General features: G+C 40.6%; 1 protein-coding gene across 5 annotated transcripts in view, besides 3 other annotated features; it reads right to left on the reverse strand.

Moving 5' to 3' along the window:
* Positions 1-207: 207 nt before the first annotated feature.
* STEAP1B (STEAP family member 1B) overlaps positions 208-27,828 on the reverse strand; it is an 80,745-nt gene continuing 53,124 nt past the window's right edge. For 4 of the 5 annotated variants that reach the window (NM_207342.3, XM_047420109.1, NM_001382447.1 and 1 more), the window contains one exon: positions 208-600. In NM_207342.3, coding sequence (NP_997225.1) covers positions 568-600 — 33 coding nt within the window. In that variant the 3' untranslated portion in view covers positions 208-567. Of the gene's footprint in view, positions 601-19,182; positions 19,520-27,828 lie in introns of those variants that run through there. The other variant, NM_001164460.2, reaches the window with a different exon arrangement.
* Positions 14,794-15,088: an enhancer, noted in NCBI's record as "tiled region #12314; HepG2 Activating DNase unmatched - State 5:Enh, and K562 Activating DNase matched - State 5:Enh". NCBI's record gives its function as "activates a minimal TATA promoter and a strong SV40 promoter by Sharpr-MPRA in HepG2 and K562 cells {active_cell/tissue: HepG2 | K562}" and the evidence as "EXISTENCE:reporter gene assay evidence [ECO:0000049][PMID:27701403]".
* Positions 14,862-15,006: an enhancer, noted in NCBI's record as "145 bp enhancer 55/56 fragment used in the MPRA reporter construct; PK_construct_3182". NCBI's record gives its function as "activates an SV40 promoter by MPRA in K562 cells {active_cell/tissue: K562}" and the evidence as "EXISTENCE:reporter gene assay evidence [ECO:0000049][PMID:23512712]".
* Positions 14,926-14,943: a transcriptional cis regulatory region, noted in NCBI's record as "GATA motif; MPRA enhancer 55/56 activity is reduced when this motif is scrambled". NCBI's record gives its function as "necessary for full MPRA enhancer 55/56 activity {active_cell/tissue: K562}" and the evidence as "EXISTENCE:site-directed mutagenesis evidence [ECO:0005528][PMID:23512712]".

Raw genomic sequence — 27,828 nt, forward strand, 5'->3', positions numbered from 1 at the left:
AACAACCCCAAGGGCTTGTACCTGGCTGCTCTCCAGCATCGTGCCAGGAAAGTGAAAAGCAAATGTGACCCACTGTGAAATCTTGCTATCAGATGCGTTCCTCAGAGTTCAGTTTCCATTTCAAAGAAATAAAATTGCCAGTAACTTTCAAAGAATGAGTTCTCTCAAATTGTTGCATCTACTTGATAATTAAGAGATGCGAATTCCTTCCTTGGGTAGAGTCTTTTAATGTTGTCAGAATATTTCCATCCAACACTTTATAAACACATTTGATTATCATGTCTGATCCTCGTGTCGGGATAGGCTAGGTTAGGCTCCGTAACAACCAACACAATCTCAGTGGATTAGCACAACACATATGGACTTTTTGTTTGCTCTCTCATGAGTCCGCTGGGGGATCCACTCATCTGCCCTGCCGGATCCATGTTGACAGAGCAGCCGTCACCTGCAGCATGGCTGTTCATTGTGGCAGAGGGAAAGGGCACTGGGTGGTGTTCTGCATGAGCAATCCAATGCTGTGCTCCAAAGCCTCGTTCTCATTTCCTCTCATGTTACTGGCAGGATCTGTCACAAGGTCAGGAAGTTGATCCTACCATGTACCTGGAAGGCAGACAGCAAGAAAGAGTTGATGTATAGAAGTAGTGACTATCACTATATTAATTTGCGTCCATTTTATTATGGAAAACATGAGAAATTGCAAGTATACACGCTTTTCTAAAGTCACCAGGGAGTCAGGGCAAAGCTAGGCCTAGAATTCTGGCGTGGTCTTTCCTCGGGCCTAGAATTCCGGTGTGGTCTTTCTCCCTGAGATATCTAAAGAAGACTACATTGTGGGGCAATGAGAGTCCCACCCCATTACTATCTCTCTCTCAAACACAACAAACTTAAATTGTCTTCATAATTGTTCTGTTGACTGGCAAGCTCAGGGGCAAGGATTGACTGATCAATGATGGTGACTCACTGGCTGAACTTGTGAATTGGGTAACAAAAGGATCTTTTAAACAGTAGGCACAGTAAAAGAAAGTGTGTAAAAGTGGCTTCTCCCTCTGGCCTACTATCTTGTCCCTAGAACCAGATGGTGTCCTCCAGCCTGGGGGATGATAAAGCACTCAGCCCATATCCTCAATCCATGGTGTTCTCCCTTGGATTGTTGAAGTTTCCACCCAATAGTATCCCACAGCCTGCTCATATCAACCTGTAAGAACCAATCATATGCATCTTTTCTCAGCTTCACATTCAGGGAAGTCACAGGGGTGGCTTGAAGTCAGCCATGGCAGGAGTAATTACACCAGAGCAATTGGTGAAGCTACAAATCCGGCTTTGTTCTTCCAGAGAGCTGGTTATTAAAACTTTCCCGGCATATCATGGCTTCTGCTCTCAGTTCTTCACATAAGATTGATTTTTCCTTCATGCTCTTGCATGGCTTGTAGGCATACCTGGATCCTTGAGGACTTGAGAGCTTCTCTGAGAAGGAGGGCTCTGCCTCAACCCTTTTTAAAGTTCTTCTCTTCCTGGGCACATACTTACATGGCACTTGGTATTTGCCTGGCATATTCTAATCACTTACATGTATAAACTCTCTAATCCTTCAAACAACCCTGTGAAGAAGGCACTATTATCTTACAGATGAAGAAACTGAGGCACAGAGAGAATAGGGAAATTATCCCAGACCCCACAGCAAACAAGAAGCAGAACCAGGATTTGCACCCAGGTAGTCTGGCTCTCACATGTGTACTTGTAACCACACTCTACTGCCTCTCTCTTAGAGAACATACTAGAAGAATAAGAAAGTTTAAATTAATTAGAAAAATAATGTTAAATGTCACTTTTCTGAATATCCAACATCAGTTATGTCTGGCAAGCACATTGTTAAAAGTGGATTCCTGCCCTTGCTTCATATTAATCTATTGAACACTGGCTGCATGCCAAGCTCTGTGCTAAGTGATGAAAAGGATACAAGGATGACAGTAATATGAGAGAACATTTATTGTGCTTTTATGAAATAGGCACTGTGGCGGGTGCTGAAAGGGCTATAAAGGCAATGATAATGATGGGTGATGATGGTGATGGCAATGTCATCATTATTTGAATGCTTAATATGTGCCACACATTGTGCTGAGCAACATTGTGTTTCAACTTTGCTATGTCTTGTGAGACAAATATTTGTCCTTCTGTACCCATTTGGCAGTTGAGGAAACTGAGGCGTGGGGAGGTGTCAGAAGCCACACAGCATGTCAAGGAGTTCACAGTGGAAGCTGCTTCATCTATACTGTCTGCAAGGCAGCAGAGTTAGGCCCTTTGGGGTTTCTCCCTGTTGCCTGCAGGCACAGCTAAGCAGTTCCATGGATGTTCTAGCTCAGTTCTGTATATTTACTTTTTGGCCTCAAGGAGAGCTTTGGTGTTGTCAATCCAACACCCCTTTTGAATACAGATATAATGAGGGGAAGCCCAGTAAATCAAAAGTAAAAAGATTTTTCTAAACTTTTTTTAAGAAACATGAATCATTAGCATTCAGAAGGCGGCTACCCACCATAGACATCCTTGCTATTCATTCAGATTAACACATGGTGCCAATGAGACCAGAAACTCATTAGGTACTCAGTAAGGAGCTTAAAACCGAGGTGAGGACCTCTTCTTTCAATGTATACCCCACTTTGTTACTAGAACCTCCCATGGGAAAATCTGCAGTATGGATAAAACTTTGAATTTAGAATTATCACAATTAACTTTGAAATTAAACGTCACTATCAAATAGCTGGATGCACTTTTCAACAAATATGGTAGAACTTGTATTTCTCATTTGAATGTTTTTATCTTTAATGATGTTACCATTGAAGATTATTCTCTTATTCAACTGTGTTACCACTTAAAAATATTGATGGCTCTAATTTTAGAGTTGTTTTCTGGTTTAATCTAGGAAATGTGCAGAAAAAGCAACCTAGTGTGTGTGCATGTGTGCACATGTATGTGCCTGGGCCTGTGCATGTGTGTGTGTGGCTGTTACTGTGGAGTCCATATTTCTGGTTCTATTCAATCAGCCACCTTACTGAGTATGCTTAGTTGCCCATGACTTTGTGCTCTTTCTAAAAGTAAAATCCACCTGCTACAAATATTGTAACCGCAAAGGAGAGCCAAAATAACATGCTACGAGCTCTGCAGGGCAATTCTAAAAGAATAGTTCCCCAAATAGCTTGAGCAACAACGTCACTGGAATATGCAAGGTGAGTCCTTGGAAAATAAACTTGCTTATTTGTGTAATTTTTTTTTTTTTTTTGAGATAGAGTTTCACTCTTATTGCCCAGGCTGGAGTGCAATGGCACAATCTTGGCTCATTGCAACTTCCGCCTCCTAGGTTCAAGTGATTCTCCTGCCTCAGCCTCCCGAGTAGCCGGGATTACAGGCACCCACCCCTAGGCTCGGCTAATTTTTTGTATTTTTAGTAGAGACAGGGTTTCACCATGTTGGCCAGGTTGGTCTCGAACTCCTGACCTCAGGTGATCCACCTGCCTCGGCCTCCTAAATATTTGCGTAATTTTTTAAAGGGGATTTTTATCCCACTATTTCAAAAAGATTTGAAGCAGTCACTGACAGTTTAAATCAGTCACATTAGTTTATCCTAGCATTTCATATGACAAAATCTCTAGGAAATGCTTATTTTTGTTCAGATGAGAAGAAAAAAGACAAAGCCTTACGGTGAAGGGTGTGAACGGAGATATTTGGAGAAAAGAGATCATAAAAAACTTCATTTAAATATGAATTTGATACAATAAAAAGACATCACAAACAAATGGGATAAGGGGAAATTATTTTAAATCCTTGCCTTACATTATAGAACAAAACAAAACAGAGACAAGTGAAGGAGCTCAGTGTGAAAAATTACAATGACAATGACAAGTGCTGGCAAGGATATAGAGAAACTGGAATATTGCTGATGAGTGTAAAATGGGGCAGCCACTTTGGAAGATAATTGGCTGTTTCTTAAAACGTTAAGCATAAATTTACCATATGTCCCAGCAATTCCACTCCTAGGTATCTACTTAAGAGAAATAAAAATATATGTCCACTCAAAATCTTGCACATGAATGTTCACAGTAGTCTTATTCATAATATCAAAAGGTGCAAACAACCCAAATGCCCATCAATGGACGAGTGAGTAAACATGGCACATCCGTCAGTGGACAATTATTCAGCAATAAAAAGAAATGGCATACTGATACATGCTGCAACATGTCTAAACCTTAAAAATATTGTACTAAGTAAAAGGACTCAGTCAAAAAAGACCCTATATTGTGTGATTCCATTTATATGAAACGTCCAGGAATAGGGAAATCCATAGAGACAGAAAGTTGACGTTTGCCTAGGGCTGGGGTTAGGAATGCAGAGTAGTTACTCAATTGAGCATGAGGTTTTTTTGGAAGGGGGTGATAAAAATGTTTTAAAGTTAGATTGTGGTGGAGTTTACACAACTGTGCAAGTTTGTTAAAAATCATTGAATTGTCTATTTAAAATAGGCCAGGCACAGTGTTTCACACTTGTAATCCCAGCACTTTGAGAGGCCAAGGCGGGCAAATCGCTTGAGTCCAGGAGTTCAAGACCAGCCTGGGAAACACAGGGAGACCCTGTCTGTACAAAAAATACAAAAATTAGCTGGGTGTGGTGGCACGCACCTGTAGTTCCAGCTAAATAGGAGACTGAGGTGGGAAGATCACTTGAGCCCAGGAGGTCAAGGCTGCAGTGAGCCGTGATCATGCAACTGCACTCCAGCCTGGGCAGCAGAGTGAGACCCTATCTCTAAAAAAGGAAAAATAATAAAATAAGTGAATTTATGGTATGCAAGTTATACCTAAATAACATTGTTAAAAATAAGTACTAATACCTTGACTACCTTCTATCGATCTCTGGTTCCCAAACTTACATTTAATGTGAAAAATAACAAAGGGATGATAGATAGCGATTTTACACATTGTAACACAAAATAAAATAAAACACAAAGAATAAATTGACAATAACACTTGCCATACGTAAGGCAAAAAGTTAATTTACTTAGTTTGTAAAGACTTCATAGAAATCTATAATAAAAACATAGTAAGATCTCAATATGTAAATAACAAAGGGCATGAACAAACTAGCTCACCACCCCTTTGAAAAATGACGAATAAACAAAGGAAAATATATTCAACCCTAAGAATAATCAGAAAATGTAAATTTAAAGAGCTATAATTGTCACCAATTAAAATAGGAAATATATTTTAAGAACATTATTTCATACTCATCTGGGCATGGTGGGACAAATCTCCTTGTATGCTGTTGGATTAAACATAAAGGAGGACATCATTTTAGAAATAAAATTTGGCCATTTGTCCCAGATACCTGAAAAATATCTACCACCTTTGGCTAAATAATTCCACTAGCTTAAGAAAATAATTTAGGATGTGGAAAAAACAGTGTACAGAGATGTTCAATTGAGGAGTATTTATAATAATAAATAATAGGGAACTACATGTCTCATTATCAGAGAACGTTTAAGTAAACTCTTCAACATTCATACCAAAGAATACCATTAAAAATGTCTGTGAAGAGTTGATAATAATATGGGAAAATACTTGAGTTATCATATTCAGTAAAGAAAAAAAATCACCAGAGTACAAATTGTTAAGTGAAAAAAAAAAAATCACATTAGGATACAGGATCATTTCAATTAATAAAAAATATGTAGAAAAAATGCTAGAAGGAACTAGACTAAAGTATTAAGTGTCACCACCTCTGGGTAGGTGAGATTTTCAAATATTCATTATAATAATATTTGTACAGTCATAACACATAATTTAATGCTCTTTTTAAAATGGAACTCTTCAAAGCAAAAGACCAAAGGTGGGTATTCCAGAATAGCTCATTGCCTGTGTCTCTAAGGTCATCATAACCTTACCTATCAAAAATCTGCCCTGGGTGAAGTGTCACAATGATTTGGTATGATACATTAAAATTTAACACATGGAACAGAATGCTGTACTCTGTACTGTTCATATACTTTTTAAAACAACTAACTGCTAGATTGGCAGCAGTAAGTTATTTTGCAAGACAAAGTTAGCAAGGCATCCACCAACTGGGGCCGTCCAGTATTATCCATGGCCTATATTTGTTGCATTTGATCATAGCCCAACAGAGCAATTGCTACCATATATCAAAAGCAACCCTGCAATTAAGTCAATTCAGGCCCAAAGTCAGTCAACGCAATGAGACAAATAAGGTTCATTAAAAAAACAGTCAGTTGGCATCATATGAAGCAAAACTGATTGACTGAACTTCTGAGTTTTCAACTGATTTGCATAGTGCTCTGAACACTGTAACTGGCAGCCATTTTGCTTAAAGTACAGACTGTTTCCTGTTACACTATTTCACCAGAGCCAATAATAACTTTTAAAAAATCTTCTATAATTATCAAGGTACCAATGTTTATATTCCAACTGACAACCACCCAAGGTGCAGCCTAAATGAACTGCAGGAATTGGAAGGAAATGGCCTCCTGCCTTAGACCCAGCAGAAATCCTTAAGAAAATAGGCCTTTCAGATTTGACTTCTAGAAAAATAGCAAAGGGGCAGATTCTGACAAACGCTATCCTGCTGAAATCAGCTACAATTCCCAGAACTACTTCCCATTACATATTCACAAATGGCTATTACAGCCCTTAGTGGCTACAAAAGTTTCCTTGGAACCCTGGAGACTGTTATGTTGCTACAGTTGTTTTTCTTCTTTTTTGTCCTTTCTGCCCAGAGATACTTATTAGACTAGGAACATCTGTACCATTAGACTCTCTAAAGGAAGTGGGGCAGCCACCAGCCCAATGTGGCCATCAAATACTGCCCTGGAGGTCAGAAATCCTAGGGTCTGGTCTTAGCAATTTCATTTACAGTAAAACTTTGGTTAAGTCAATCCTTTTGTCTCCTGGGCACTGCATAAAAAAATGAAAAGTTTGAATAGTTTAATATTCAGTAGTTTGGCAAACCAGATCATCTGAAATTCTTCCATAAAATACAAAACAAAATAATAATTGATTGAAATGTATAGTTAACATCACAAGAAAGTAAAGTAAATCCTCAAAGGACAAAAAAAAATGAAGTAAAAGCATGAATTCAGTATTTTTTTAAAATGTTAAAGGCAAGGTAGCCCTGGGAACACTTGAGTGTATTCACTCAGCAGGAAGACAAAAGATGAGGCCTTGGGCCCTTGAGGGTAGAAAATCAAAAGGCAGACACTCCCTTTCTCCACCCCAACTTCATAAGTTAAGTTAGATCTTCCAAAAAACTACCTACAGCTTCAGGGAAAAGGTAAATAACAGCAAAAACGAGAACAAAACTGTCACATGGGGCAGTGGCTTTGGGTAAAAGGGGAAGTAGTCCCCTGGAGAATTAGGAACTTCAAGCCAATACACATGCATTCATTCATCAAGTATTTACTGAACACCTATTAGTGCCTGTCTGTGAGCTAGACATTGGACATAGAGCAGTGAACACAGCAAGTAAGCCCTGCCTTGAAAGAGCTTATATTCCAACAGTGGAAGACAGACAAGAAGCAAACAAAAAGGATACGTCAGGCAATGATGCATGCTAAGAAGAAACATTAATAAGGGTAAGCCTATTAATAAGTGACTGGCTGGGCAGGTGTAAAATTTTACACGGTTTGGTGAAGGAAGGACTGCTGGATAATAATGTAACATCTGAGTAAGACTTGAAGGAAGTGAGAAAGTGATCCATGCAGGTGTTGAGGGGACGTCAAGTACAAACACCCCTACACCAGGCCTGCCTGAGGAATAGAGAGGTAGCTGGAGCAGAGTGAACCAAAGAAGAGGGAGAAGAGAGGGTCACAGAGACAGCAGAGGCCCAGGCCACAGAGGACCCAGTGGGCCATGCAGTGACCTGGAATTTATTCTAAGGAGACGAAAAGACCTTGCAGGATGAGTTAACGTGTAGAAGGCTCACTCTGAGTGCTGTGTGGAAAACCGACTGCAGGGGAGCAGGAGAGGAAACAGAACAGCAGTTATGGACAATAGGCCAAGCAAGAGGCAATGATTTATGACTGACACAACTTGATGTCATGGAGATGACAACCTGGCCTAACTGGAAGGGCCAAAAGGACATCCTGACTGATTGGAAGTGGGTTTCAAGAGAAGGAGATGATCAAAGGTGACTTCAGGATCATGGCCTGGCTAACTGGAATACAGCTGGTTTCTCTGAGATGGGAAAGGGTGGAAAAGAATAGGTAGATGAATTGGTGGAGGTCCCTAGTTTAGGCGTGGACATATTCACTTTGACAGCATCATGGAGCTACAGTTGGAGATACAATTATTAAAAGAAAATCTAAAGCCGTAAAAGGCTCATGTTAGCATAGAAGAAAGACTGAAAAACAGATGAACTAAACATCCAACCTAAGAGATTAGAGGTAGATATGGAAATTAATGTAAGCAAGTAGAAGGCAGGAAATGTTTACAAAAGGAATGAAGTGAGTAATAAATGTACCTTTGAGAGGCTCGATCCAACTAATGTTCAATCTTTGAAAAGAAACTGGTAAAATTAGCAAACCTCCAGCAAGACTGCCAAGGTAATGAGGAAAGGTACGAGTAGAGAAATAGTAGAAATCAAAGAACACAACAAATGATTTGAAAGAAAGCCATGCATGTTACTGCAAATCTGGCTCTAAGGGAGGCAAATTCTGACACTTTCAGGTTTGTATGCTGAACTGGGGAACAGTGGCAACACTGATCTCAGCCAGTCCTACAAAGGAGCTTCTGTAGGGATGGGCTGGCCTGACAGAATTGTCCAGAATTGAGGCAAGAACTGGGTCTTTAAACTCATGCACTGGCCAGACATAGGATGGAATCTGCCCTGAGAAGTGAGCCTGAACTTAGCACGGCAGCCAAGGGCAATCCTGAGAGAGCTGTCAGCCACCAGTACTCCCGGAATCAGAAGGAATGGGTGCTTCTGTCCTGGGGGTGCTGAGAGAGTGTCTAGGGAGCACAACCCATTATCAATTACGAGTGTTATGCCAATACGCTTTGATAAAATAGACAAGTTCCCCAAAAGTATAACTTTCCAAAACTGATTTGAGGACAGAAAACTTGACTGTTCTCATTACCTTAAAATGAATTCGATCAATGGTTGTAGATTTTGTCTTCTCACAAAGAAAGCATCAGTAAGCTCTTACAAACATTCATGCATCATACAAGCTCTTAAGAGAAGAAAAAGGACAAGAAGAGGGAGAGGAAGATGAGGGAGAGAAAGAGAAAGGAGGAAAGATGAACGGTCCAACTAACGTCATAAACCTAATGTACCAAACGGAGACAAGAGAAATTATATAATAATTTCACTCATGAACACAAATGCAATAATTCTAAATACAATATTAGCAAATGAAATCTACCAATATTTAAAAAATAAAGCACGCACCTATAGTCCCAGCTACTTGGGAGGCTGAGGCAGGAGAATCACTTAAACTCGGGAGGGGGAGGTTGCAGTGAGCCACGGCACTCCAGCCTGGTGACAGAGCGAGAGTCCGTCTCAAAAAATATATATGAAAAATAAATAAAATAAAATAAAATACATATGACTAAGGTGAGTTTAATGCTAGAAAATCTTTTAATGTAATTTACCTCAATTAAAGGTGTAAATAGGCCTTTCACCACAAAGAAATCTTAAATGGTGAACATATATAAGGTGTTCAAGCTCATTAACAAATCAGGGAAATATCAGTCTGAACCTACTGAATTGACCCCAAAACTTTTTTGATCTGACAGTATGAAGGGTAAGCAAGACTGCGGTGTAACAGAAAACCTTATACACTGCTTGTGGGAATATAAATGGACACAATCACTTTGGTAAACAACTCATCATTATCCAGGGCACTGAAGGTGCATATACCCTACAACCCTGGCCCTCCACTCATAGGTTTATACCCTGGAGAAACTCTTTTCTGAGGGCACTAAAGGACAAATACAGGAGTATACAAAGAGACAAAGTTTGTAAGAGCAAGAACTCTATCCAAATGTCCAACAACTACAACAACAAAAATAAAGCGTGGTACACTCATCAAAGGAGATCACATTTCACTGAAAAATGAATAAACTAGAGCTACTTGTATCAACATGAATGAACCTCACATCATGTTGCATTTTTTTCAGAAGAATACATACAGAATGATACAATTTACAGTAATCTTCTATTATCCACAGGTAATAGGTTCCCCCCAGTAGATGTCTGAAGAGTGGGTATTACTAAACCCTATATATACTATAGCTTTTTGACCTGATCACCAAGAGGACTACCAAGTGACTCATGGCCAGGTGATGTATACAGTGTGGATATGCCGTACAAAGGATGATTTACATCCTGAGCCAGACAGAGTAGGCCCACACAAGATTTCATCACACTGCTCAGAACAGTGCACAATTAAAAACTTATGAATTGTTTATTTTTTTAAATTTCTATTTAATATTTTTAGACCACAGTTTACTGCCAGTCGTTGAAACTCCTGAAAACAAACCATGGATGGGGGAAAAGACTGTATAAACTTCAAAAACTTATAAATCTAAATGGTCATATTGTTTAAGATTATAAGTAGTGTGTCCAATGGGCTTAACAGGCCTGACACAGGTTGGGCATCTATATCTGTAGTAAAACCTTACAAAAAAAAATGATAAAAATAAAATTCAGCCAAAGATTTACCTTGAGGTAATGGAGATAATTACCTTGAGGATTTACCCTTGAGGGCAGAGGGCATGAGGGACTAGATTGGGGAACTGACCCACTAGCATCTTCAACAGTGCCAGGTGTGTAGCACTTCTTAAACTGGTTGTGGATATGTGGGCATGCATTCTTTATAATACAGACATATATGTTTACGTTATTTTTTGTGAATATTGTATTTGAAAGTTTTAAAAATACAGTGGGTTGACCAAATAACTAAAACCCTTCTTATTGCTTGAAATTCAACCTGTGTGACTTCTCACTGCTCTCACCTGCCTATTGGAAAATAATAATGTTCTCACAGGATTTTGTAAAGATGAAATTAATTAGGGCACATAAACTGCTTGCATTGTACCAGACATATATGAAGTGCTCAATGAATGGAACTAATAGAACAACTATTCTCCTCCTTGTTACCACCAGGACTACCACAAGTGCATCATTAATCTTACGACTGAGGCAAGGAATTATTAAAATCCCTAACAAAGAAAGAAGTTGTCAAAGAATATCTTGTATCATTGGACCTTGGACTGTTGGACTCCCAGGTTTCAACATTATTCAGATGCTTGCAGCAAAGTGAGTACATCTTTTTCGCTCCACCCTGCAGCTGGCTTGGTTCTGACTGGAACCGTGGGCTGAGTCCAAAGGCTTGTTTTCGTTAGAGTCATGATGGCTAATGCTGAGAACACAGCCCCATGGTTTTACCTCAACAGCCACGTTTTTCTCAAGGAATGTGAAGAAAGCTGTTTCCTGCTGCTTAAAGAATGTGATTACCTCATTCAAAACTGACTGTCCAACCTGCCTCAGGCCTTCTAAGCCCGTCAGACAGACACATTTCTCACCATGACTTGGGTCTTCCTCATTTGCTCATGACCTGCATTTTTCCCAATCTGGTCTACAACAGACATGGAACCCTTGGCTCTATGATTCTCAGCGTCTCTCTGCCATCAGGCATTTTGGACTTGACCCTGCTTTAGTCTCCCTGTCACTGACATTGCAATTATTCCTATCAAACGATAGCTGGTCTCATCCTATGGTTCTCTGTCTTTTGGGGTGCAATGAATGGGAAAATGTTTCCTGGTTCCAGGCTCAATCCTAGTGGCTTTAAGATGTTTTTGGCTACAAGTAACAGAAACTTGAACTCAAATTGACCTACATAATACAAAGACAGTATTGGCGCAGTAACGAAAAACTACAGTGATAGAGGAAGCTTTGGTGACCCAGTGACAACACCAAAGATACAGCTTCTCCTCCTCTTCTCTTCTATGGTGCCTGCTTCACCCTAAGGCTCACTCTCTTCATGTTTGCAAAATGGCTGGAAGCAGCTTTAGGGACTGCTTGTTTCCTCAATTATGTCCAGCAGGAAGTGGGAAAAAAAAATCTCTCTCCCAATAGCTCTCTCAGAAGTGAAACATCTTTTTTTCCAAAAGTCTCTGGAAAGAGTTTCTCTTGATTCATTGGTCTGAATTGGGTTGTGTGTTCTAAACCAAGCGCTGTGGCCTGGCGATGAAGTATGTTGATTGAAGATCAGCTAATCAGAACCTAGGACTATGCTTATGGAGTGAGGTCTCCTCCCAGAGCATGTAGGCTGGTAGAAGAGGCATGATACCTGTGCTCTGTTTGACCTTCACCTTTGCTCCACTCTCTGCCCTAAGAAGCTAACTCTTCAGAATGCATCACTCCAGCTTTTTGATTTCTGACTTATAGCTGAATTTGATCTTGGGAACACCAACAGAAGATCAGAGGGTGGAGAGAAAACTGGATCAGGACAACTATTTCCCCAGCTGGCTCCTTGCCTTGCTGTGGTTCTGACAGTGGCTGTGTTCCTCTAGAAGGGCGACTCCACTTGGGCCACCCTTCCAGCTCCAGCTCTTGCCAGGCTCTGGTAACATTATTCCCTCCCTTATCCCATCTGGCCCAGAGGTGGTAACAGCTCCCTCCTCTTGCCAGTCCCTAGCTGCTCCAGCATTCCTTGCTGGTCCTTGCTATGGTCTGAATGTTTGCGTCTCTCCAAAATTCATATATTGAAATCTTCACCTCCAAGGCGATGGTATTAGGAGAGGGAGCCTTTGGGAGATGATTAGATCATGGGTAGAACCTTCATCAGTGGGATTGGTGTCCTTATAAAAGAGACTCTAGAGAGACCCCTCACCCCTTCTGCCATGTAAGGTTAGAGTGAGAAGATGGCTGTCTATGAGAAGTAGATCCTCGCCAGACACCAAATCTGCTTGTGCCTTGATTTTGAACTTCCAAGCCTCTAGAACTGTGAGAAATAAATTTCTGGGCTGGATGTGATGGCTCACGCTTCTAATCCCAGTGCTTTGGGAGGCTGAGGTGGGAAGATCATTTGAGGCCATGAGTTTGAGACCAGCCTTGGCAACATAGAGAAACCCTATACCTAATAAATAAATAAATAAATAAATAAATAAATAAATAAATAAATAAATAAAAGGTTAGCCAGCTGTAGTGGCATACACTTGTAGTCCCAGCTACTTGGGAGGCTAAGGTGGGAGGATCGCTTGAGCCCTGGAGGCAGAGGTTGCAGCCAGCTGAGATCATACCACTGACTCCAGCCTGGGCAACAGAGTGAGACTCTGTCTCTAAGGAAAAATAAATTCCATTGTTTACAGGCTACCCAGTTTATGGTATTTTGTGATAGCAGCCTGAACAAATGGACAGTCTTCATTCTACCCATATCTCTGTAATGAGCCCCTTCATTAAACTATGTGATTTGCCGTCTGTTTCCTTCCTAAACCTTGACTAGTACAATACCTGAATGAAAATTGAGAAATTACTACCCAGAAGAAAGGAGAACGGACACTAGGTAGCCAAAAAAACAGCAAATGTGTACCATGATCCACTACGGATTACATAGGTAAGCAATATTAAAGCACACACATGTACAATAGCAGCCTCGTCTCTTGTTAGAGAAATGCTCTCATAACTCCCTGACAGCAAAGAACTGCCAGTTGCTTCATGAGCTCAACCTCAGGTAGAAAAATACTCAGCCCTTCAGCTCTGCCGTTCCTGCCAGCAAATGCGGCCTGACTGCTCATAGGACATTTCAGTAATCAACTGGAAAATGAAAAATAGAAAAACACAGGGGGAAGAATGAGAAGAAAGAGAATCCCAGAATCTAACAGAACCTAAATGAGTTATTTCACCAAAAAAAAACAAAACAAAACCCAAAATCAAAAAGCAAACTTCGCAAGCTCCCATTCATTGCACCCCAAAAGACAGAGAACCTGGTAATTTGACCAGACTTCTGTAACAGCCACAGGACACCTTCCCCCAACTTACTATTTCAAGCCCTTCCACCCCCTCCACATAATGACTCATTGTAACCCCAGGGAGAGAGGATTTTCCTGCTCACAAAAGCACAAAGACAGGTTAGGCCAAACCAGTTTCAAGGAGAGGAGATCTATGTAGGAAAGGGGACCCAAATTGTAACAGCCACAGGACACCTTCCCCCAACTTACTATTTCAAGCCCTTCCACCCCCTCCACATAATGACTCATTGTAACCCCAGGGAGAGAGGATTTTCCTGCTCACAAAAGCACAAAGACAGGTTAGGCCAAACCAGTTTTAAGGAGAGGAGATCTATGTAGGAAAGGGGACCCAAATTGTGGATATTTGGGCCTGCCACATAGGAGAACTTCTATTGGGCAGGAAAGATTGCAAAGTATACCTATACAATTAGGAAGCGTATATTGGAAGATGTGAAAGGATAGACAGATTTAGGACTGTGCTATTCCAAAAAGCTACCCACCACTACTCATTCAGGAAAGAATGAGTCCTTGAACTGGTATAACTGGTTGTCAACTGAGATGAATTAAAGAACAAAACTGCTGGGCTTTGTCATGATGAACATGTGTGTATACGTATGTGTGTAAGATCATCCACCACCGATCACGTTCTCCTTTGTCCTCTCAACTCCTTTGCAGGTTCACAACAGTGTTATGGCGGGAGCAGGGAGGCACCTACATCCATTGGACCCATCCTGACAGCTGGGAAGGATGTGTCCAGCCACCCAGGGATGTGCATCTGGCACCCACCTCACAACAGCTGTTCTAACCACGTAAGAAGCACAAGGGTCACCGGTTACTCTCCATGAGAACAAAAGGCCAAGGATGCAGAGATAATTGCATCAAAGGGATTCAACTTCCTGGATGACCTCATTCCAAAGATCTGCAGAGCCCAGATAAGCATCCCAGGGTTCTGGCAGAGGGCCCCTCCAGGGACAGGAAGGGGACAGGAAGCCGGCTTTCCGTGTCTGTACCGCCTTCCTTGGGAAGGATAGGACACCTGTGGCCATCAAGTCATGATGCCCCATGCTGTCTCCCGCCAACTCCACAAGAAAGGCAAATGAGTGTCACATCGCCCCCAGAGTCATGACTCTGCTGATCCCACATGGGCCCCATAGAGGGCTTTTCCTTCTAGGTCTTCACCATAGATTTCTCATATTTTCATTTAAACAGATTTGTATGTAATTCTTGAATGTTTCCTTTCTTTCATATTCTCAAAAAATACATTAAGACTAGTAAGAATAGGTAAAAAAAAATTGGTACATCTCAGAAGATAATATGTGAGACTAATAGCTATAGTTTGCAATAAAGAAAATTAAATGAGGTTTCTAAGCACTTATGTATTTATTCTCTAAATGTTTTTGAGCCCTTTCTATGCCAGACACAACTCCAAGTCCAGAGACGGAAAGATAAAATGTTCCTTATGCTCGAAGAGCACATAGATTTGTTAGAAGTCATAGATACTTAAACAAATGATTATATAATAAGTTCTACAATGTAATTTTATCCTTGGGAATTCTGCTAATATTACAAGGAATAATAAATAGTCAAAATAAGAGTCCTTTATCAAAATTTATTTTTATACTGCTCAGTTTTGCCCTAGAATTTGTTAATTTATTCAATATTCTCAGCCCAAATCATTCTACAATGGTGGAAAGATTCTAAATCTATGCTGTCCAGTGGAGTAGCTACTAGCCACATGTGGCCAGAAGTACTTGAAATGTGACTAGTGTGACCGAGGAACTGAATTTTAAATTTTATTTAATTTTAACTCAGGTCAATGTAAATAGCCACATGTGGTTAACATAGTTCCAGAGTTCTAGTCCCAGATAGATCTGGCCAGATTTACCGAAACAAGTGAAGGTTAATCAATTGTGATTAAAATCAAGCAACACACCAATGTGAATGGCCAATGAACCATTCAAGAAAGAATCACCTGCCTGCCCACCTGCACCCACTCAACCTTGAATGTCTGGAAGAAAACGAGCCTGTTAGACACAGCAGGAAAGGAGGTGGAAAGTGTAACCATAAGGCAAGGTCAAGCAGCTCAAACAGAAGCACCAGGCACAAACAAACCACAGAGAAAAGCTGGAGGGACAGCACGAAGCTGGTGAGTGTCAAAACGAAAATAAAAGCAAGTTCAAGCTCAAGTCCAATTTTTAAACACTTGAGATTTTAGAAAAATAAGTAGAATCTAATCCAAAAGCCATTTATTGACAACCCTCCATCAGTAAATTTTTTCTGAACATTTTCTGTAGGCTCAGCACCAAGGGGGGTGGTTATTAAGAAGTCTATAGTAACATCAGTCTCCACCTTAAAGAATCTTAAAATTTGCTTGAGAGACCAAATGCATACACATAAAATCGTGAGAAACTGAGACAAGACAGTATTCAGTAAAGCACTCAATTGTATTTATTTAGCCACATCTAAAGCTCACCTGTGCACGATACGCACCGTGGGCAGAGAGGTAAAGAGAGAAGTGAGCGTAGGTTGCTCTCACCTGGATGGGCTTCATGGAGACCAGCAGGTGTGATATAAGACTCAATTCAAGTTAGCCTGGCCTCCATCTGCCTGCAGTAGCATCCTTTATCAGCTCCACCCTACTCCTGCTTCTGCCAGAATGACTTGCAGTTTCCTAATGTACCTGCCATCTCTCAAGCTGAGCCACTGCGTGGGCAGAACACGGTCTGGTGGACCCGCCTGGCATGCCCGGACTCTGGAGGTGCAGACTTGTGTTGAATTCCAGCCTCACCAATCCTTAGGTGGCTGAACTCAGGCAAATTCCTTAACATCTCTAAGCCTTGTTCCTACTGTGTAAAATGAGAGTAATAATATTATCCAGCCGTAGGGTTTTTTGGTGAGAATTAAATTAGATAAATAAAAGGCTTATACAGAGAAATCATTTTTTTCCACTTTTCATACTTTTTTAAAAAAATCAACTTTATTAAAGTATTGACATACAAAAAGCTGTACATATGTAATGTGTACAACTTGGTGAGTTTGGAGATAAGTATACATCCATGAAACCATCACCACAATCTGTGCCATAAACATCCATCACATCAAAAAGATTTCTCCCATCATCATTTATTTGTGTGTGTGTGTCATGAGAACACTAAAAATCTATCCCTTAGCCATTTTTTTAAATTTAAGTTCACGGTCACATGTGCAGGTTTGTCATATAGGTAAACTTGTTATGCAGATTATTTCATCACCCAGGTATTAAGCCTACTATGTATTATTTTTCCTGGTCCTCTTCCTCCTCCCACCCTCCACCCTCCAATAGGCCCCAGTGTCCGTTTTTCCCCTCCTCGTGTCCATGTGTTCTCATCATTTAGCTCCCACTTACAAGTGAGAACATGTGGTATTTGGTTTTCTGTTCCTGTGTTAGTTTACTAAGATAATGGCCTCCAGCTCCATTCATGTCCCTGTAAAGGACATGCTCTCATTCCTTTTTAAGACTGCATAGTATTCCATGGTGTATACGTACCACATTTTCTTTATCTAGTCTATCACTGACAGGCATTTAGGTTGTTCCTGTGTTTTTACTATTGTGAACAGTGCTGCAGTGAACATACAGGTGCATGTGTCTTTATAATAGAACGATTTATATTCATTTGGGTCTATACCCAGTAATGGGATTTCTGGGTCAAATGGTATTTCTGGGGCAAAGATTTCATGATGAAGACAACAAAAGCAATTGCAACAAAAGCAAAAATTGACAAATGGGATCTAATTAAACAGCTTCTGCACAGCAAAGGAAACTATCAACACAGTGAACAGACAACATACAGAATGGGAGAAAATTTTTGCAAACTGTATAGCTGACAAGGTCTAATACCCAGTATCTATAAGGAACTTAAATTCACAAGCTAATTTTAAAGTATACATTATAAACTATAGGCACTGTGCTGTACAAATCCCTAGAACCTATTCATCTCGCATAACTGAAACTTTATACCCACTAGTACCTCTCCATTTCCTCCTCTCCCTCGTTCCTAATAACCACCATTCTATTCTCTGTTTCTATGAGTTTGACTATTTTAGATTCCTCAAACAAGTGGTATCATGCAGTAGTTGTCTTTCTGTGTCTGGCTTACTTCACTTAGCATAATGTCTTCCAGGTTCATCCATGTTGTCACATATGGCGGGATTTCCTTCTTTCTTAAGACTGAATAATATTCCATTGTGGGTATATACATTTTCGTTATCCATTCATCTGTCAATGGACATTTAGGTTGCTTTTATGTCTTGGCTATTTTAAGTAATGTAGCAATGAACATGGAAGAAGTGCAGATATCTCTTGGACATACTGATTTCATTTCCTTTGGATATGTACACAGAAGTAGAATTGCTGGATCATATGACAGTCCTGCTTTTTAAATCCTGAGGAACCTCTATGCAGTTTTCCATGATGGCTGTATTAATTTACATTTCCATCAACAGTGTAAAAGGTTTTTCTCTTCTCCACATCCTTGCCAACACTTCTTATTTGCTTTTTTGGTAATACCCATCCTAACTAGCATGAGGTAATATCTCACTGTGGTTTTAATTTGCGTAACTCTGATAATTAGTGACGTGATTATTGAGCATATTTTCATATATCTATTGGTCAAGTGTACATCTTTTTGGGAAAACGTCTATTCATTTTCTTTGCTCATTTTTTAATCAGATTTTGTTATTTCATTATTGAGTTGTAGGCACACTCTAACATACATTGGACATGAACCCTTTATCAGTGTATATGATTTGCAAATACTTTCTTCCATTCCATAGGTTTCTTTTTCATTTTGTCGATCGTTTCTTTTGCTGTGCAGAAGGTTTTTACTTTACCTGACAATTTTCAACCCATCTTTTAAGGTTCTGCTCAGGTATTTCCTGTCCCGAGAAACTCCCCCACGTTTTCTTCCCTTGTTGTTGTTGGGTTCCCTTCCCAAGGAACAGCATCCTGAGCTCTCCCATGGCCAACAAAGTCATACGCACTGCTTCTCCTGAAATACTTCCAGTATATGCTTGGTGTCCTATGCAGTTTTTCGCACTTGTCCCACATGTTTTATTTTTCTACATAATACTGTTAGTGAAGATTGCATTAAAATAATTGGAGTAAGTTTGGTAGATGTCCACTTTGTACTTCCAGCTTCTACCATGGTCTGGTCTGCAAGTATGTAAGATGTATGAGCAGGGAACAAGGTTCTCACTTTCATGCATGCTTAAATCTGAAAGATGATCAGCAATAACTTGTCTTTTTTATTGAGATTTTCTAGATGAAGCTGAAACATGTGAGAGCTAACATTTCCCTTTGAAGGGCTGGCTGCTGATAAAATGAAGTATATATAACTCCTAGTCTTGGAAGGTGGTGGGAAATGGATTCCACACTGCTGCTCCTGCCAGAAATTTGGTGTGCCTACCAGTTGTGTCTTGGCCAGTTTAGTGGCCTGAAAGTTGCACAAAGCTACCAGGCTTCCAGTCAGTATAGCCTAGAAAATGAAAAGAAATGATACATTTGGTGCCTGTGTAAAGTATGTGGGAATTAAAAGCCCTGTGATAAGTGTATAATGAGAAAACTGAATACTCTCCTTCATTTATAAAATGGGATAAAATCTCAACTATTTTATTATTTGGTGACATTTTTATTTGGTAATAAATGTTTTCAGCAGCAGCTGAATAAAACAAAAAAAAGTGCATGTTAAATGAAAAACTAAGTACTGAATTTCCATGTAATAAGAAATCTGGCCAATATGTAACTTGTAAATGATAGTAAATGTTTGATGACATTTACTATCCAACATGGGGGGTCCTGGTGATATCACTAACCACGTGAAAACCAGACCCTAATCTACTAAAGAAGCACCAGCTTCTACCTCACACATCAGAACTGTTTTAAGAATGCCGTGCCCCTAAACAGTTTCACTTGTGCAGCTGCAGAAGGTGTGTTTACATATCATCCTGTGAAGCATGACTTTTCATCTAGATCAAACAATAATTCTTTAAATTAATTTTGACTATTCTTATTCCAAGTCCGTACATACAAAAAGTGAACTGATACCTGCACATGTGATGGCTACATTAGCAAAAGAGCTGCCACATAGCTGTATGAAGCCCTTTGCTATTAGAATCCTGATACTTCAGATTATCAGCTAGTTCCAATGAAGATTTTTTTTTTTTCATACAAGTCATGAAATCAAAGTAAAACTTTTGGAAGCTTATTCTCAGGTAAAACGTCTGACATTGTTGGGACTGCTGCTATAAATTCAGTTCAAAAGTTCCATATTGTTCAAAAGGTCAATATTGAAGACATGTTTTTATAGTAGTAATAGGAATACAAAATTTTGGGGGAGCACAGGTTCATGGAAAAATAATGTTCTTACTAAATTCATAAAGTAACAGACCAGAACTTGGAAGTGATTGTGGGCACATAATTCATAAATGTGTCCAATCCACTGTGATTGATATTCCACTAAAGGAAATAGAAACTATCATCATCAAAAATTACAAATATTTCTACATATAAGGTAACTATAGTATGAAATTCTTGTGGCAGAGCTTATATGAAGTATCCAACCACCCTCTACACCCCAATAAAACACCAGTATCAATCAAATGAAAAAACCTCATGCATCAACAATAACAATAGAAACTTCAGCTTGGGCGTACACATTTTCTGTTGCTCATCAGTAATCTGATTTTAGAAACATTTGAGCCTTTAAATAACTACTTGGCAAATCAGCCTACGCCTTTTGAAATAATTCTTTAAATGTTGGTTGCATTTTGATGAAAATTAATTGGAATATTTTGATAAATTATTCAATAAATGGAGTACAAAAATTTCAGGTTGTGGAGCTTTTTATGAATTACAATTATCTAAAACGAGCTTACTTAGGGACAATTTGAAATTGTTTCTACCAGATCGAGGGGGGAAATTAACAAATTAAACTGTGGGAGCTCAGAGGTATATGCTACCTTGACTTGTGGGAAGGATCTTTTGATGAAGTTTCTACTTTTAATTGGATCAATTTCTATTCTGTACTGAAATGGAATATAATTAAAAGTCCTTCAATTTTACAACATTTAACTTGGGTGAAACATTCAAAAGAATAATCTTAGGTAGAAATTATTTGACAAGCTGTATTTTGTAATATCTGATGGGGTATCTTGTAAAAATATTTGTTGAATAAAGATAAATGGGGGCCAAATACATACCCTGTAAAGTTATTCAGGCTGAAATATTAACACAATTCAATATAAAAATGTTAAAATTGAGAATACTCCCCATTTAGCCGCATTTGCTCTTAGCTTACTAAATAATTCAGCATCTGTAGAGAGAGTATTTTCTCAACTAAAAATATTTTGGACCACAAAAAAGGTCAATTTCAAGTTTATTAATCACAAATTACAAAAATAATATGGCAGACAGTTTTATTTAAAAAATTAAAAGCTTGTTTTCAGAATGTGGCTTAGAAAAGGAATTTAAAAAATAGAAAAATTAAAAGCAAAAGACACTGAAATAACATTCTTCAAATATGCTAGTGACATACTGCATTACAGGTAGATATGACTAAGAAACTGATTATACTATGTGACTATATACTAATAATTATTCCACTTATATTTTCTTAATTTAAAATTATTCATTTAAAAATTGTGCTTTAATATTCTATTTTAAAAAGTAGAATATTAAAATATATGTTAAATTATATATTAAAATTTATTTAAATTGTATATTTTAATATTTAGTATATTTGACATTAAAATATTTTTAATAAAAATTTTTTTCTAAATAGAAAATGTTATTTTCTATCTTTAAAAAGAGTTTTATTTTTATATTTTTAATGTAACTATTTATAATTTACCACTATGCTGGAATTAATTTGTTAGTCAATTCCTAGTTTCAAAAACTCCATAATTTGTATTATTTTAGTATTCCCTTCCTATCTCAAGTGTCCCAGGTTGGATAAATTCTAGGTTTACCCTGGCCACAGCTCACAGCAGCCTGTGTCAGATTGTTTATGCATCATTCTTTCCCACCCTATTGGACTTCCTTGAGAGCATGGATTCAATTTCCTGACTCTGTATCCCTTCAGTTGCCCTTACCATGCGCCAGGCACTGTTGAACTATTTTAATCCTCATTAACCTCTGTGTTGAACATTCTAATTACCCCCATTTACAGATGAGAAAATTGAGATGGGGAAGAGGTAAAGTAATTCAATTACAGTCTGTGAGACAAAGTCGCAAATGTAAGAAGCGAAGTTTGCTCATTTCTGTTTGCCAGCATAATTTCACAAGCCCCTGACTCTGTACCGCTCTCCAAAAGATGCTTTGAAGACAAAACAGGATAGAACACATGGCCCCCCACATCTCTTGCCTGAGTCACTGTATTCCTTAAAATAAATGGCCCTAGTCCTTGCCTTTTCCTACACATAAAATAATGTCTGATGGGGTTAGTGGTTATGCTTCTACAATGTATAACCAAATGTTTTTTAGTAATCTATAACCAGACGTACTCTTACACCCCAACTGTGATGTGAATTTGCACATACTGCGGCTTCACCACCTGTATATAAACTGTGAACTGAAATACTGCTTTGGAGCAGTCTGACAGATGTGCTCCTGGCCTACAGGCCTCAGTAAGACTTTTGAATAAAACTAGCTTTAATTCTTTAAAAGCTTGACTTTTCTTTCTTTAGTCAGCAGGTCCCAAATTCTAGACCATGGGATTTGGGTGGGATTTGGCCACCCTGGGATTTGGCTGGATAGTCCATGCTCCTATGCTCCTACCCACTTCCCATATGGCCCTTTCTGGGTAAATGTTCTCTGTAAGTACTTGTGGAATGAATAAAACCCAAATGAATGAATGAGTGATGAAGAGGGCAATGGTGCTCATTGCAACAATGATGGGTAAAAAGACTGCAGTGAGCGGAAGTGCCTACCACACAGCTTCATATTCATAGCCCAGGACTGAAAGGTTCTGAGTTGGAACCAGCAGTTTTCAAGGGAAAGTGACTGACATTAAGTAAACATGATTCTTTACACAGCACACCAACTGCCAGATGCAAGAAGTCAAGACGACAAACGTGTTTCTCCCAGCTAATAACAGTGGCCTCCTCATCTGGGCTGTTTACTCAGCCACTAAAAACCGGATACTCTCTTTGGCTAAAACCAGGATGTTGTGTACCTGTCCTATTAGGCCCTGACGGCAGGCCTGGCCTGCAAGTTGGGCCTCAAGGACAGGAGTCAAGTCTTGAAGAGCTCTTTCCCAAATACCTGGGGTTGGAGGTGGGGATGGTGGAGTGGCTGAGCTGTCAGCAGAGGAACTGCGGGGGAGGGTGTAAAGGAATGCTGGGTGCTGATCTGACAAAGGACCTGACGATGCCTTTGACAGAGTTGGAATCTTAGAACATTTTCAGGGGAAAGAACACATTGCAGTGACTTTGGGCTTGCTGAGTTTGAGACATTGAGAAAGGGGTTAAAAAGAGAAAATGAGGCAAGGCTGAGAGAGGCAGGGTGTCCTGGGTTGCCGCCATGACAATGAGGAGGACTTGGCAGTGCTCCCAGAAAGAAATAGGAGTGATGGAGACACATTTGCCCCCTGGATGGAAGGAACACAGGATGAGAAGACATCACTTGGAGAAGAAATAGCAACAACCATTGTCACACCAGGCTCACCCCTACCCCCTTCCCTGGCAATCAAAAAAGCTGATGGCTCCAGCAGCTCCAGCACGCCCTGGGGACAGCCAGTGTGCTTCAGTCTGAGGCTCCTTCCTTCCCTCCCACTCGCTCCTGCCTGTCTTTCCCATGTTTGCCAGTGTCAGATCTGCATAGTGATCTTCCTTTCCTAATCCTGCTTCCTCCTCATCTTTCGCAGGTGTTTACCACAATAAATCTCCTGGAACAACTCTGTTCTACCATCTGCTTCTTGCAGGACCCAAACTGACATGCTTCCCAACAACAAGAAAAGTGACATTCCTTTTTAAAGACCCAGAGAAAATCCTAGTATCATGTTCTTTGGTATGTTCTGGAATCAAGGACCCAAGATTAATTGGTAACTGATTCACTTATTCAGGAATTCATTTAATCAATCACTTCAATAGGTATTAATTAAGCACCCATTGTATGCCAGGAACTGTGCTGGACCTTAGAGCTATAACAGTAAACAAGGAAGACGTAAGTGAAAATCTCATCTAAGCAACTTGTAAAATGAAAGACCATGGGTAGTCCAGGAAGGAAAAGCTGTCTCTGGGTGTGGCTGAACGTTAAAGCAATCTATCCTATCTGATGAGAAAACACACAAAATGATCATTCCAGACCACAAAGATCTCCAATTACAAGAAACATAACTTCCGCCACTGCTATGCCCTTTGCACACTGTACATAGTCAGTTCCTCCCACCAGGAGTCATCGGAGAAAGGAAACTGCACGTGGATGGCAGGACAACAGCACAGCATTGCTGGCTGTCATGGTAGCTGGCACATGCCAGCTCCTTTTTCTGCATTCAGCTCCCTCCTGCCCCATCACCTAAGAGCCAGGCAAAAACACTTCCACTCGGCTGGAGCCACCAGGACTTTGACCTACATAAAGTGCCACAAAAATCACCCAATTGAACAAGCTCTGGGCCAGAGAAGGAGCTGAGGTCCAGCTGAAGGTGATGTCCAGCCCAAGAGGCTGTCCCCATAAACTGACCCTCAGGGGGTGCTGAGTCCCACTGCCCTGGTTTCTCCACATCTGTGTGATATAAGGAAGCCAGAGACCACCACAGCCTGATGAGTTCTTGGAGAAGCCCAGAGCCAGTGGGCCTGTCTCTCCACAGAGTCACGCTCAGGGCTTTAGTTAAAGGATCCCTGCAGAGGGAGTGGGTTTGAATTCCAAATCTGCCATCCTCATCCTAGGACAAAGAGCAAGACCTTTAACGTCTCTAGGCCTCAGTTTCCTCTGCTGCAAAGGAGTGAGGGTACCTGTACCTCCCTCATTGGGCTATTGTGAGGACTAAATGAGATAACATATGGAAAGCACACAGCACTGTGCAAGGCAGCTTGAGAGGGCGTGAGCAGGATTGGTGAGGACTATTCTTGTTTGCCTGGCTCTAGCCGTTACCCTGACTTCAATCACCTCTAACTATGCGTCCTTCTATTTTGCCTGTTTCCCTGTTTTAAAAAAAAAAAGTAAAAAGAAAATATAAATTCCTTTCTGCTTTCAGAAATGAATTTTCTGAAATTATACCCATCATGGGGATTCCAGGGACCATGGACTCTTTGCAGACACACTACTCAAACCCATGGAGAAAATGTCCCATCGGCTGCCCGGGAGCCTCTGCCTTGGCCACTCGCAGCAACCCTGGGAGAAATAAGGGCCTCAGACAGAACAATAGCATGGATTGTGCCTCTTGCAGGAATTTCATCTGTCACTGAGTAACAGGTTTTGATCTCAGGCTCGCTGCCAGTTAGGAAGTGAAACCCTTTCCGGAACACTTGCTGTTTTGTTGGTTTTCCCCTGGAGATTTAATGATTTCACCTTGGAGGTTTTAGCTGATGAGCTGTGCTCTGTATGGAGCCTACCCATGTGAAAAACCAATCAGGTATTTCATGGGCTCCCCAGTATTCTATTTCGTGAGTTTGGAGACCCACTAAGCCAACAATTGGACACCCCCACAAGGTGTGCATTTGCTGTCACCAGAGCGAGCTCTGGGTCTGTCCGCGTGGCACAAGGAGAGCTGTTAGATCAGTCGTCTTCTCTAACCCAGAGGCCTAAGTGAGAGGATGAGAAAGAGAAAGGGCCATTGTTTCTAAAGACAGGTTCACCTGAAGAATTTGGACAATGATGCCGGTTTCAGTTTAAAGGGCCTTTGGGCAGGGTTGGCATTGGGAACAGGGGCTGAGGGAGCTTCTAGACTTTTCTGCATTATGAGCAGAGTAATTACAAATCAGCTCTGCAGATGACAGCACAGACCTCTTTGTGGTGGGTTCTCTTGGGCCAACAGCAGATTTGGAGCCGTGGAAGAACAGCGAGAAATCTCTTCACATGACCTTCATGTCTTCCTCCTGTAAACCGCATTGTATTTCTAACTTCAGATCAAGGGGACTGACATCTGCAACTCTTCAGGGAGGACAGCTGGGCCATGCCCCTTTGGGCCTCCCATCCTCCCCTCGTCTTGTCAGCCAGTCGTGCTGGGATCTGCCGGCAGCCTTGTGAGAACCGGGCAGGAACTGGCCAGCAAAGGCAGCTATAAATACTCCTCTTGGCAGCCAGCTTCACTTGGGAGCCCACAGCTGAGGGGCGGAGGCCAGCGGGAAGCACCTGCACCTCTTCAGGGTACATCCGAGCCTGGGCCTGGCTTCCCGCCCTCCACCTCTGAATGGGGATTTGGTCGACCTTTTCCGGCTTGGGGGAAGTCCCCGTGGTGATCCAGCTTCCCAGATGCAAGAGCAGCAGGGAGGGCACTGCTCTCCAAGCAGCCCAACCCCTTTAAACTCAAAGTCAGAGCTATATTCTCACAAGGGCTGATGAAACTGAATAGCTAAGGGTAAATGAGGAGGCAGGAGAGGCGAAGAGGAAGGGAAATAAGCTCTTTTATAGAATGCTTTTCTCCTCCTGATTTCACTTGTGTGGGGAAGCATGAAACAACCACTAATCAGTCTTTCCCCCTGATGAGTCGGAAACTTGACAACTGGAGAGTTTTTAAAAAAATGAATGAATAAATATTTCTTCTTTGGGCTTTATTTATGAAGCATGGGCTAAGAGATCCCTTGTGGGCATTTTAAATAACCAGAAGCAAGTCACAGCAGCAGCTAATGGTCAACTGTAAATGCAGTTCTGCTGTGCAGTTGTCGTTCAAAATGTGACAGTATTTAAAAGCTGGGCTGTATATGAGATGAAGGAGTTCAAAGACCCATTGGATGACAGTTCTCATGCTTCTGCAAGTGAAAGAATCATCTGGAACACTTGTTTATGAGGCAGATCCCCGGTCCCTACCCTCTGAGATCTGATCCTATAGATTTGGGCCAGGGCCAAGAACCTGCATTTGAGTCCCTAATTCCAACCTGGATACTCTGGGACAGGACTGCGCTTTGCAAGACAATGCCCTATGCCAGTGGTTCACAAAGTGAGGTCCCCAACCTGGAGCCACAGGAAATTTGTTAGAAATACAGATTCTTAGGCCAACCCCAGAAAGACAGAATCGGGAACTTTGGGGACAGGGCCCAAAAATCTGTTTTAACAAACCTCCAGGTGGTTCTGAAGCCTGCTATAGGTTGATAAACACTGCCCTAAGATTTCTTACAAGCAAGTTGTGCAAACCCTGGAATACTGGCAATTCCAATGCGTAGCCAAGATTTAGAACCACTCTGATGGACACTTCCATTGGAATATGAATGCTAATCTCACTTCTATAACCCTTATTTTTCTGAGCACTCACTTTTTTCAGCCAAGATTAGAGTTAATAAGGTGAAGGGGAAAGAATGTGGGTTTTGTTTCAGGTAAACGACTCAAGCCTGGTCCCAAGTTGAACCCTCCCTGAACCTCAGTATTTTCATCTGTGAAATGGAAGGAATGCTGCCCACCCCACAATGGTGCTGTGAAGAGTAATGAGACAGTATCTGGGAAAACACTTAGCCAGTGGCTGGCACATTGTAGAAACTTGATTTTTCTGTCTCTCTCTACAATATTTTTTAGTTTAATTGGGGTCTGGAATGAGATTCTTAATTTTTATAGGAATATAGCTTAAGGGTTTGCTCTCCAGAGAGCATCAAAAGACTCATTTTAAAATTCATCTCTTGTTTTAGGGTAAATGTCTGA

Source organism: Homo sapiens, chromosome 7, assembly GCF_000001405.40.
Source record: "Homo sapiens chromosome 7, GRCh38.p14 Primary Assembly".
NCBI lineage: Eukaryota > Metazoa > Chordata > Mammalia > Primates > Hominidae > Homo > Homo sapiens.